At 49.7% G+C, this 11,728-nt stretch overlaps 1 long non-coding RNA gene across 1 annotated transcript, besides 4 other annotated features; it reads right to left on the reverse strand.

Moving 5' to 3' along the window:
* Window positions 1–1,693: 1,693 nt before the first annotated feature.
* On the reverse strand, window positions 1,694–4,564 carry LOC124901782 (uncharacterized). Its single transcript, XR_007060602.1, has 2 exons — window positions 3,371–4,564; window positions 1,694–3,096 (listed from the first exon to the last, which is right to left on the reverse strand). It is a non-coding gene; the product is annotated as an uncharacterized LOC124901782 (long non-coding RNA).
* Window positions 4,043–5,242: an enhancer, noted in NCBI's record as "BRD4-independent group 4 enhancer chr7:154989644-154990843 (GRCh37/hg19 assembly coordinates)". NCBI's record gives its function as "activates an origin of replication core promoter dependent on BRD2, P300/CBP, MED14 and CDK7 cofactors, and independent of BRD4, by STARR-seq in HCT116 cells {active_cell/tissue: HCT116}" and the evidence as "EXISTENCE:reporter gene assay evidence [ECO:0000049][PMID:35650434]".
* Window positions 11,375–11,554: an enhancer, noted in NCBI's record as "active region_26891". NCBI's record gives its function as "activates an Ori minimal core promoter by ATAC-STARR-seq in GM12878 lymphoblastoid cells {active_cell/tissue: GM12878}" and the evidence as "EXISTENCE:reporter gene assay evidence [ECO:0000049][PMID:35858748]".
* Window positions 11,565–11,614: an enhancer, noted in NCBI's record as "active region_26892". NCBI's record gives its function as "activates an Ori minimal core promoter by ATAC-STARR-seq in GM12878 lymphoblastoid cells {active_cell/tissue: GM12878}" and the evidence as "EXISTENCE:reporter gene assay evidence [ECO:0000049][PMID:35858748]".
* Window positions 11,645–11,714: an enhancer, noted in NCBI's record as "active region_26893". NCBI's record gives its function as "activates an Ori minimal core promoter by ATAC-STARR-seq in GM12878 lymphoblastoid cells {active_cell/tissue: GM12878}" and the evidence as "EXISTENCE:reporter gene assay evidence [ECO:0000049][PMID:35858748]".

The raw sequence follows: 11,728 nt of genomic DNA on the forward strand, positions 1-11,728 counted from the left end.
GCAGACACTGTGCTGTGGAGGGGACAGTGTGGAAGCCACATTCCCTGTTTCCTTCTATCCTCCTCCCACTCTCTTGAGTTGAATCACCCTCTAGTGGGGCCTGGGCCTGCTTGTTCACCCAACGTCTGATGCACAGTTCATTGTTACTCCTTCTTTTAACTGCATCATCCTTTACTTATAAAGAATTTGGAGAGGCAAATAAGGTCGTATTAAAACCAGTTGGAGCATGATATATAATGCATGGTATAGCCAACAAGCAACAGTGAATCCTTTGAACACACTTTCTCCAGTGTGCATCTGGTAAGGAGGCTAAGTTCTTAGTGGGATAGCGCTATTATTAATCAGAAAGTTTGAAGGTGCTTTTTGAGAATTAACCCCAGAGCTACAGAGTTATGCATCATTATCAGTATACCAGCCTATACTTTGTTCAGTGCTTTACAATTTAATAAGTGCCTGATTTCTTTCTCAGCACTATGTGAGGAAGGTGTTACCATTGGTTAAGGATGCAACAGCCAAGGTTGAAGGAGACTAACTGCTTCGCCGTCTGCTTATTCTCAGCTGTAAACAGCTTGCAGGAGGACAATCTGCATTGTTCGCAGAGAAGCAAATATGACCCAGAGGTCAGAGTCGCAAGAGCCCAGCAATTTGTCTTTGCTCCTTAATCCACTCTGTGCCATCCAGGGAGAGATAGTAACACTGATTTCTGAATAGTGCTTTGTGTGTTACACAGTGGCTTCATATCCAGCGCCTCCCCCACCTCCTCCGCCCTCACTAGGGGTGGATTGCCCCTGAGCAGGGTCTGAGGGGCAATGGATCGGGGTGCTGCAGGGGCTGAAAGCTGCAACTTTGCAGGATGTTTGTGTAGTCATGACAGCCTCGCGGAAAGCCTTGGGAGCATGGGGCGTCCTAATCATCCTGACAACTCCGGGTGGAGGGTACACCGCCGTGCTCCATGCCATCGGGACAGAGCTGGGATATGCAGGCCATGGCGAACAAGCACACAGCACAAACCTGTGCCGCACTGTCCAGGTCAGTGCTTCTCATCCAGAGAGGCTTCATCCCCCTGGACAAGCTTGGCCATGTCTGGGGACAGTTTGGATTGTCCCAGCTGGGGAGGGGTGTGGAGGGTGCTGCTGGCATCAGTGAATGAACGGAGACCGGGGATGTTACTAAACATCCTACAAGGCACAGGGCAGCCCCTGCCACAGAGAATCACCAGGCCCAAAGTGTCAATGAGGCAGAGGTTGAGGAAGCCTGGCATAGGGGTTTTACCTGTTATGAACATGTTAATCCACCGGCTGATGTGAAACAGATGCCAGGATCAGTCCCCACTTTGCAATTGAAAACAGAAAAAGCAGGGGTCTCAGTCCTTGTATGAAACAAGGTAGTTTTTCAGCCAAACAAAAAACATTAAATGAAATAAAGTCAAGGTACTTTGAATCATTTTGCCTCATAATTTATAAAAAAAATTAGCAGTAATGAATATCAACAGACTAAGTATTGTAAAAGAGGCTTTCAAAAAGCAGAAATTACAGAGAAGACAAAGAAAATAGGCAAAAACACATGGCTTATAGGAGATTTTGTTCATTTCTTTTGCTTTGTGTTACCCTCTTCCCATGGTCCTGCCTTCCTTGGGTTATTTGAATATATTTTTTATTCCATTTTAAATAATCCATTGTCCTTTCTGGCTATATCTTTTTGTATCAGTTTATTAGTAGTTTCTCTAGGGATTACAATACATATATTTAACATTTTATAGTCCACTTAGAGTTCATATCTTACCATTTCAAGTATATTATAGAAGGCTTATGACTCTATTGGTTCATTTATCCTCCTCTCCTTATGTTATAATTGTCATATGTACCACATCTCAGTAATAATTATACCCAGAAAATGTTACAATATTTGCTTTCAACAGTCATATACATTTTAAATAATTTAAAAAGAGAAAAAGAATTCATTATATTTACCAGATATTTATCATTTCTGTTGCTCTAATGCCATTCCTGAAGTTCCAAGTGTTCCTCCAGATCATCTTCCTTTTTCCTGAAGAACTTGGCTAAGCATTTCTTTTATAGGTCTGTTAGTGACAAATTCTCTTACTTTCTCTTAATCTGAGTATGTCCTTATTTCACTGTCATTTCTAAGATATTTTTGCTGGATATAGAATTCTGGGTTGACAATTATTTTCTTTCAGTAATTTATAGATGTTGTTCCACCATCTTCCTGCTTCCTATTTTCTGATGAGAAATTTGCAGTTATCCAAAGTACTCTTCTCTGATACATAGTATACTGTTTTTATCTGGTTGCTTTTAATTGTCTTTCCTTTACCTTTGATTTTCATTTACAATGCATTTTTTTTAAGTTTATCTTGTTTAGAGTTTGTTAACCTTCTTGAACCTATATATATATACGTTTTTCATCAAGTCTGGGAAGTTTACAACCATTATTTCTTCAATATTTTTCTGCACCAGTGTCCTCCTCCTCTTCTTCTGAGACTCCAATAATAAGAGTATTAGACTTTTTGATATTGTCTCACAGGTGCTTGAGGCTCTGTTTTTGTTTCATTTTTTTTTCTCTCAATCTTCAGGCTGTGTAATTCCTATTGATTAATCTTCAAGTTCACTGACAATTTCCAGGATATCTCCCACAATTTTTGGCATTCAGGGCTCTCCTTTCCTGGTTCTTCTGGACAGAAAGATAGTGTTATCTCCAAGATTTAGCTTCCCGCACTGCCATGCAGCTCTGCGTGACTAGGACTACCTTAGGAATAAATTGGTAAAAGAAAAGACAAAAAAATTAACAGGGATTATCCCCCCATTTTTAAAACAGCTGGAGCTCTTTTTCCAGTTTTCTTCTGTCCAGAAAATCAGGTTTTTCTTAGCTTTTTAATTCTTTGTGCTATTGTATAGTTCCACATGACTGGGGCCATCTTTGGAGCCAAGTGGCAACAGTAAAGAGGAAGAAATAAACAGGGATTCACCCCACTCCATTTCCAGTTCCTCTGGTTGGAGAGTTGGGTCTTTCATCAAAGTTTCAGGGCTTCCAGCACCAGGACCAGCAGCATAGTGGTGCAGCTCCACAGCTGGAGCTGGCCTTGGGTCAGGGTCAAGAGAGGAAAGAAAAAGAATAGTGAAAATTTCTCCCACACTCCCTGGCACGCAGGGGTCCCTTTTCCTGGTCCTTTGGCTGGAAAGAGAGGTTTTATCCCAGATTTTTGTCTTCTGGGCCCACTGCACAGTTCTGAGATTCAACCCACCCTCAGGTCAGAGCTAAGAGACAAAGAAAGAGGAACAAGGCAAAACTCACCCCCATTTGGGGTCATTATCAAGTTTTGACATCAGTTGCCCATCCTTTTGTCGTTACTTACTTTTTAGAGGGCTCAGGGAGTTGTTCTTTATGTTCCTCCCAGAGTTTTCAGCGTTCCCAGTGGGACGGTAGACGGAAGTGCACGTATTCCACCTTGGCTGGTACCAGTGGTCACTTATAGAAAATGCAAATTCTCTCAGCCCAGGTTGGAGCAAATGTACAAAAGAAAGTAATGATATAAAAGACCAAAATGACATGATCAATTTAGTATACCTGAGGGATATCTACTAAACTTTAAATCCTAAAAATATAGACTATATTGTCTTTCCAAGTGACCATGGGACACTTCCAAAATTAACTAATAAACCACACAAATAACTTCAATTAGTTCTAAAGAGGAGAGATAATGCAGAAAACATTTTCTAATCACAATGCAATGAAACTAGAAATTGATAAGAAAGTCACAAAACCAAAAAGGCCTTGACCTAGAAATCGTATGATTCCTTATTAACCAACTTTTGAGTCAGAGGGAAATACAAAGTGAATTATAGAATTTCAGGGAAACAACAATAGTGAAAACATTAAATGTTAGAGTTGAGAATATAAATACAGTAGTTGATAGACTTAAATATCCATATCAGGTATAGATATTTAACAACACTGCACTCCTTACTTCCTGTCCTAGGTCTGACTTCCACGGTCTTGCTGGACACAGACCCTTTGTGGACATTTGACAATGTCTGGAGACATTGGAGTGACATCTTGTTATTGCATACTTAATAGACTACAGTATAGTATAAACATAAATTTATATGCACTGGGAAACCAAAAATTTTATGTGACTCACTGTATTGCCGTATTCACTTTATTGAGGTGGTCTAGAACCCAACCCACAATATCTCCAAGGCCAGCCTGTATGTGATCTCATTTACTCTTTATAAAGACATCTGGCGACGAAAAATCTCAGAACTCTTTCACAGATAAGAAAACTTAGGCTAAGACAGATGTAGGGAGAAGAGTGAAAATCCCCAAACCACCTTCCCCATTTTTTCCTTCCCCAGGGCTCACCCCGAATCACTCAGTGCTGTGTCACGTGTCATCCGGACGTTTTTCCTTGAGTGACAGGCATGACTACGCAGGAAGGCAGAGGATCGCTGTGGGCCGGAGGCCTGACCCACCCTCAGAAATGGTGGCCAAGCCCCTCAGGGCCACTTCGTACAGCAACCCTGTCACCATGCTCACCGGAAACTGGTCTGATCAGTCCTCGTGACAGCAGAGCAGGAAGAGAGCTGGAGGTTCATCAGGAGTCACCCAACACGTCACAGACCGGGACATGGAAGCCAAGAGAGGTGTGGTTATCCTCATCACAGTTGACGATGATCCTCAGTGCTGGCCACCAGGATCAAACTAGCCACCATTGCCTGAGTTCTGCGTGCAGCTGGTCTGCAGCGCTGCCCCACATGGGACCCTCTCCTTGAGGGGCACATGACCTTGGGCAGAGCAGCTCTCTTGCGATGAGGCGATGAGGGCCTCAGCCCGAGGCGGATATGGGCCCCACACCCCAGTGTTCACCACAGCCACCAGGATGCTCACTTTAACCCGGCGGTCACTGAATTGAACAAGGCACAGGTGACCCCTCTTTGCGAGTGACCTCCAATCCAAGCATCCTGCAGCTGACCCAAGTCCTCACCCTGGAACTCTTCCATAAGTGTCGGATAACTCTTATTGCTGACTGGTTTTAGCTCAAGACCCTTTGAGTTTTAGGACCTTCCACAAAACACTTTGCAAATATAGCTCGTGAGCATTGAAAAACAGCCCCTTCCCCCACCAATCCCACGATAAGGGAGCCTGAGAGTCAGATCTCATCTCAACCAAGGCTGTGCTCTGAATCACCCAGGAAATTCCCCACTGACATTCACATGCAATAGATGGGGGTGGTGGAGGCGTCTGTGTGTGTTGTTTTTAAGCATCTCAAGTTGATTAATGTATAGCCAGGTTGGGAATTACTGCTCTAGTGGAAAACTTACTAGGCATAGAAGCAGAAAACGAGGATGTGTGGAAACCTGAGGGAGCAGGACAGCTTCCTTAGCCTAAGTGTCTTTATCCATCAAGCATAGTTGATAGAACAAAGCAGGTTCACAGACACACTCCAGGATGCTGGAGGCTGGGTACGGGCCCACCCCTTAAAGACAGCGCAGTGCCAACTTTTCCCAATTCACAGCAGGGGAAGTTAGTGGATAGAATTGCCCAATTTTAACTTTTGGTTCCTTTTCTCTCATAATCTTTTCTTGGCCTTGACATCTTCTAAAACTCCTCTTTCTAAGCCAATGACCAACAACACTGCCATTGTCCCAGTGAAGGCTGCCTTTCCCATGGCTGAGAAGCCAGGCGAGCCAGAGGCATGGGTTCTTTGCTCCCTGATCTCAGGGCTGGTGCAGGCTCTGCACGGCAAGGTGCTGACAAGGCCTGGCAAACAGGTGCTCAGTGCCTTTCCGGCTGGAATCTTATGCTTTGTCAGGTGAGTGCTCAGCAAAAAGTGAAGCAAATTGGGTCCCCGCCATTCTGTGCCAGTGATGTAGTTTTCAGACGTTGACCTTCCGGGTCTGTGCTGATGACCCCTCATGGTGATCATGAACTTCTCCCTAGACCTCCGTGTGAGGACCCTCTGGAAATCTCTCACCACACCTTTCAACTTTAGCCCATCACTGAAATGATCACATACTGCTTATGAAGACGTTGGGACTTGGAGATGCGTTGATGTGCACATAGCCCAACTTCAAATTCAGGCTATAGCATCCCTGGAGGTAAATATTGATTTGGCATTTCAGTTCTATCAATATTTACCTCTTAAGTCAATAAAGCTTGATGTTTATCTCAACTGACATTGATATCTGCTTAAAGTGTATTTCTCACTTCCTTCCCTTCTTCAAATAGCTGGAGAAGAGCTTGTGTTGGGCAGGTCAGAGGGAATGGCCGATGGACCCGCTGGTATGGAATGAGTCCTGAGACTCTCATTTCCTCTCTGGGCCTCAGTATCCCAGTGAAGCAGCTACGTCGTCTGGGGTAGATCCCCTGGGGCTTGTTGTCGCCTGCCAGGAAAATTTAGGACAGGGACACTAAAGAGGAGTATAGGAGTGGAGGTTTAATAGGGGGAAAAGAGAAAGAGAAACAGCTTCCTCTGTAGAGGAAGGGGTCTCCAAGCAGAAAGGACGCACTGGTGGTGAATGCACTGTGTTTTATAGTCCAGTTTGAGGAGGCAGTGTCTGATTTACGTAGGGCTCACAGATTGGTTCGATCAGGTATGAGGTTTACACAGTGCGTGGGGAAGGCTGCTCTTATTATGCAAATGGGTTTTCCAGTTGATAGGGGCCATCTTGTCTGCTCCTTACAGAACACGTGGCTGGCAGAGAAGTAAAGGTGGAGCTGCCATCTTGAAAATGTCTAGCTCTGACTGGGCTCGGTGGCTCACACCTGTAATCCCAGCACTTTGGGAGGCCGAGGTGGGCAGATCACCTGAGGTCAGGACTTCAAGACCAGCCTGGCCAACATGGTGAAACCCCATCTCTACTAAAAATATAAAATTTAGCAGGGCATGGTGGCAGATGCCTGCAATCCCAGCTACTCGGGAGGCTGAGGCAGGAGAATTGCTTGAACCCCGGAGGTGGAGGTTGCAGTAAGCCAAGATCGCACCACTGAACTCCAGCCTGGGCAACAGAGCAAGACTCCATCTCTAAATAAATGAATAAATAAATAAATAGATAGATAGATAAATGAAAATGTCTAGTCTTTAGTTCCTGCCAGCATTCACCCGTGCAAGCTCCCAGCTTGCAGGCTGCTCTTTGTTAGAAAATGATTTGGGGCTGCTTTTCGTTAAAAAGGAAAGCCTTATGGAGGACTCCCATACCCTTGCTATCTGCCTAAGTAATTCCTTCTTAACTCCTGGATCTCTAGGTTGTTTCGGAGACCACTTCGCTGCTGACATCTCATGGCTCCGCTGTTGCATATTCAGAAGGACAGAGCAGGCGGGCGGCCTCAGGTTTGCAAGTGGCAAAACCTGAAAAATAAAACACTGTTTTTTATTCTGATTGACTTTTTAAAAAGTGCTGATTTCAGCTGGTACTGCTTGGAAGCAAATTTCTGGGGAAAGTAAAGTCATAAAAACAATCAGACAGCCTTAAAACTGGGACCATGAAGATGGGGTCCCATCAAAGAATCCTGGCTCCTATGGTTGAGGCTCAGCGGAGGGAGCAGTAAGTTCCCTGCAACGTCTCCAAGCCTACAGCCCGAGGCCTCTCGGACCCGACACCCTGGCGGACAGCTGCAGAGGGGCAGCCCCACCACGCCTGCCTTGCTCAGAGGCACCCCGGGACCAGCATCAGCTAGCAGAGCTGGGAGGTCACTCAGGCCAAATGCTGGCAATTTCATGGAGAACCCACAGTGACAGAACTTCCACAGAGGACTGTCCTTGAGATGGTAAAATCAGTGAAATGGAGTCAGTAAAACCGAGCACACGAGGCCTGGTGCCTGGGAGTGGGAGGAGCCCAGGCAGCCTTCACCAGTGTGTTGGTTCATTCTAACGTGTCAACTCGACTGGGCCACAGGATGCCCAGATATTTGGTTAAACATTATTCTGGGTGTGTCTGGATGAGATTAGCATTTGAATCGGTGGATTGAGCAAAGCAGGTGGTCCTCCCTGTATGGCTGGGCCTCTTCCAAGCAGCTGGGGGCCTGAAAAGAACAAAAAGCACTGGTCAGGGAGAAGGCCCTCTCTGCCCGTTTTCAAGCCGGGCTGGCAGTCTTCTGCACTCAGACTGGAACTTACGCTAGTGGTTCGCCCAGGCCTCCAGCTTGCCAACTGCTGATTTTTGGACTTGTCAGCCTCCACCTCCATAGCAGCATGAAAAATTCCTCATCATCAATCTCTCTATGCATATATCCTATATATCCTTTTGGTTTTATTTCTCTGGGGACCCCTAGCACACCAGGCAAGGTGAGAGGCCCTTGAGGAGGACCGGCTGTGGCTCGCTGGTCTAAAGCTCTAAGCTCCTACTGCTGCTGACTCCAGCTCTGCAGAAGATACAGTGGTGACATCTCCTGGCTGCCAAAAAGACGGGTGAGTGTGAGCCTGGGGCTCTCAGATGGCTGCAAAGATCAGGGTATCCAGGGTGTTATGTAAGCAGGCAGCTTCCCCTGCAGTCTGTGCTCTAGGCTCAAAGCACAAGGGCCACAAAGAAGCCCAGCCCAGGATCCTGTCTGCCCGGTGAGCTGGGCAAGGTGAGCATGCCTGAGGAGTCATGGCCGAGCACGCAGCACTGAGCACAGATCCTGGAGGGAGAGGGATGACCCTCAGCCCCTGCCCTCCGGGACCTCATGGTACAGGTGAGGGAGGGTGGGTGCTCAGGTTGGAGTCAGTGCAGCTGAGGAAATCTGCATGTGCCCCTTGATGGCAGAGGGCCCCGGGATGCTTCCCCTCTCTCAGCCCCCACTGGAACGCAGCCGCACCTTCCCCAGAGGACGCCAGGTAGACTCAGTGGCCAGAGGTTAGGGGGATTCTGCACAGGCGGCTCAGGGTGTGCTGGCACATACCACCCTCGCCAGGGCCCAGGGCCCTTGAACGCCCCAGTGTTCAGTGCTGGCCTTGAACCAGGGATGGCCTTCGGGTGAGTGCTGTGGGGCTGAGTGAGCCTGAAGGAGGACCCTCGGGTGAGAAGAGGCTTCTGGGAGGAGCAGGAGAGAGAGGAGGGGATTTGGGAGAGAGGGGGAGGGGAAGGGACAGGGAGGGAAGACAGACAGCCCAGCTGAGTGGGGAGGAGACACAGGGTGGAAGGCTGGGGGTTGCCCTTGAGGTTTGGAGTCTGAGTCTGGATCAGGGTTCTGCTGCTGGTGGGTGACCCTGCTGCTGGCTCAGCCCCAATCGGGGGCCTGGCTGCCTCACTCAGATGAGGGGCCGGGCTTCCCTCTCCTGCTTTCCAGTGCTTGGACTGTGGCAGCCACCACACCCACAAGGGAGTTGGTGGTTGATTCCCAAGGGTCCTCATGGTGGAGTTCCCCCTCCCTGCTCTCCCTTGGCCCTGTGGGTGCATTTCCTGGCCTAGGGCTTTGTGGAGTGAACAGTGGCTCCTCCTGCTTTTGTGGGCCCCTAGCCAGTGAGGTGAGGCCAGACCTCCTGAGGGGAGGGTCCCATGTCCCCAGAGTCAGGGGTCGGGGTCAGGGGTTGAGGTCAGTGGGTCAGGTGGGTACATTGCAGTCAGCATGTACTCAGGACTGCCTGTGACCCAGAAAAGGCTTTCTCAGGCCTATTCCCACCCGCACCAGCCTGGAGAGAGCTCTGTCAGGCTGAGGTGGAATTTTCCGGAGCCCCGGGGGCTGTGCAGGTGCGGGAGGGAGAGTCTGTCAGGCTGAGGTGGAATTTTCCAGAGCCCTGGGAGGAGGATTCCCAGCATCAGGTGAGCGGTGACTTCTGACGCACTGTGGAAGCTACAGGCAGGGCTGAGTCGGCGGCAAGGAGCAGGACCTCCTGTTAGAAAGTCCCAGAAAGAAACAAACCCTCGGGGACCACCCAGAAGGCCAGGATCATCCGAGGGGCCGCCCCGTGGGGTCTCCATGGCTGCACGTGCATCCTGAGGCCCAAGTCCTCCTCACAGTGGCTTCACTGGGTGCTGGGACTCTGCAGGGACCGAGCTGTTGGTGCTCCAGCATTCAGGGAGCTCCTGCCTTGGGGTGGACAGACAGCAGGTAAAGAAGCCTCATGCAGGGCAGCAGGGGATACCCTGGGAAGGAAAGTGAGGCAGGAAACAGACACTGGGCCAGTGGCTCCTGGTGAAGGGATGGGCACTCGGGGATCTCGGGGAGGGTCCAGGTGAGGACAGCAAGGGCAGAGGAGCCTGTGGGAGGGGTAAGCACGAGGGAGGCCGAGGCCCTGAGATGTGAGGCCCGCATCCTGCTGCAGGCGCTCTGCCTCCAGCAAGAGGTGGCTCTGGGGGACAGCTCTCCATGGGGGACAGCTCTCCATGGGCTTGGACACCCGTGCTCCCAGACAACAGCTTCTGCCGTGCTCCCAGATGAGAGCCAGAGCCCTGCCTATCGGGAGGCCACACTCATGCCCAAGACTTCTAGGCCTCAGCAGTGCTCCCAAGGGTGTGGCACCAGGTGAAGCAGGGCAGGTGTGTGGACCAGGTGTGCTGGGGGGGCAGAGGGAGGGCAGCACCCCGTGGGCCAGCTACCTCTTGTGTGGGCACACAGCACCTGTGCACTCAAGGTCACCCATGTGCACGCCGCCTCTCCACTCCTGGCAGCAGCCACCCTCGCACCATGTGGCTCTGTGTCCTGGCTCCACAGGGCTCCCTGCTGCTGCCAGGAGCAATTCCTGGAGTCCAGCATGTGGAGGTAGCAGGGCCTCTGCTGGCTTTGGGACTGGACCAGCAGCACTGCAGGTGCCCTGGCTCTCCCACCTGGGCACACCTGAGGCCTCTCGCCCTTATCTCCCAGGGCCCTAGCGGTTCCCCTCCACCATCCCATCCCAAAGCCTCACCTTTCCAGTGTAGCCCCAGGCCCCAGAGCAGGTGTATCCACTTTATTGTACACACAGCATTTGACTCAGAGCCCAAGACATGTATCTGATAGGAATAGGGCTGCTCTGGATGAGGGAGGGGGTGCCCAGCCCCCCAGCCTGGCTCCCCAGCACGCCCACTGCCCTGGCTCTGCGGAGCACCTTCCAGACCATATCAGAAGCCCTCAGGGAGGCCCCTGGACCCTGACATCCCCGAGACCCCCTGAGGGACCCACTTTGCTAGCTGCATGTCTGTGTCACACGGAACTGTCTCCATGCTCTGCAAGCAGGTGGAATGCAGGAGCAGGCAGGAAAACCCAGCTCTTCCAAGTCAGACACTGGAGAGCTCTGCAGACACGAAGACAATGCCATGCCTCCCCCTAAATGCTTTTTGTTTTGGAAAATATAGCTGTTCGTCATAAGGTATTTACGTTGACGTATGACAGGTTTATGATTGTTTTAATGAATTAATAGGTATTTTAAATGCTCTTAGTTTCGATTTCTAGTGTTTCTCATTGGTGATTTCTAACGTGGCATCGTGGCTGCATTCAACCCCCATAAACGCATGCTCCGTGGTGGCCTCCATAGCTCTTCAGACCCAATGTGTGAGTCCCGGGCTCCAGATCGTGTCTCAGCCCCTCCCTGCTCCCTCAGCCAATAGCCTGTGTCCGTGTGGCCCCTCCCCCGAGCTTCCCAGTGACGGAGGAAGGCAGACGCCGCGTGCTTTCCAGGCGCTGTCCTAAGCCCTTTGCAGATATGGAGCCACTTGACCCTCCTATAACGCGTGCAGTGGGTCCTATTACCCCCCCATTTACGGACCAAGGGCAGGGAGGTGGAGACACTGGCTGGAGGCCGCGCAGCAGGGAAGTG

The sequence above is a fragment of the Homo sapiens genome, chromosome 7 (assembly GCF_000001405.40).
Source record: "Homo sapiens chromosome 7, GRCh38.p14 Primary Assembly".
Taxonomy (NCBI): Eukaryota; Metazoa; Chordata; class Mammalia; order Primates; family Hominidae; genus Homo; species Homo sapiens.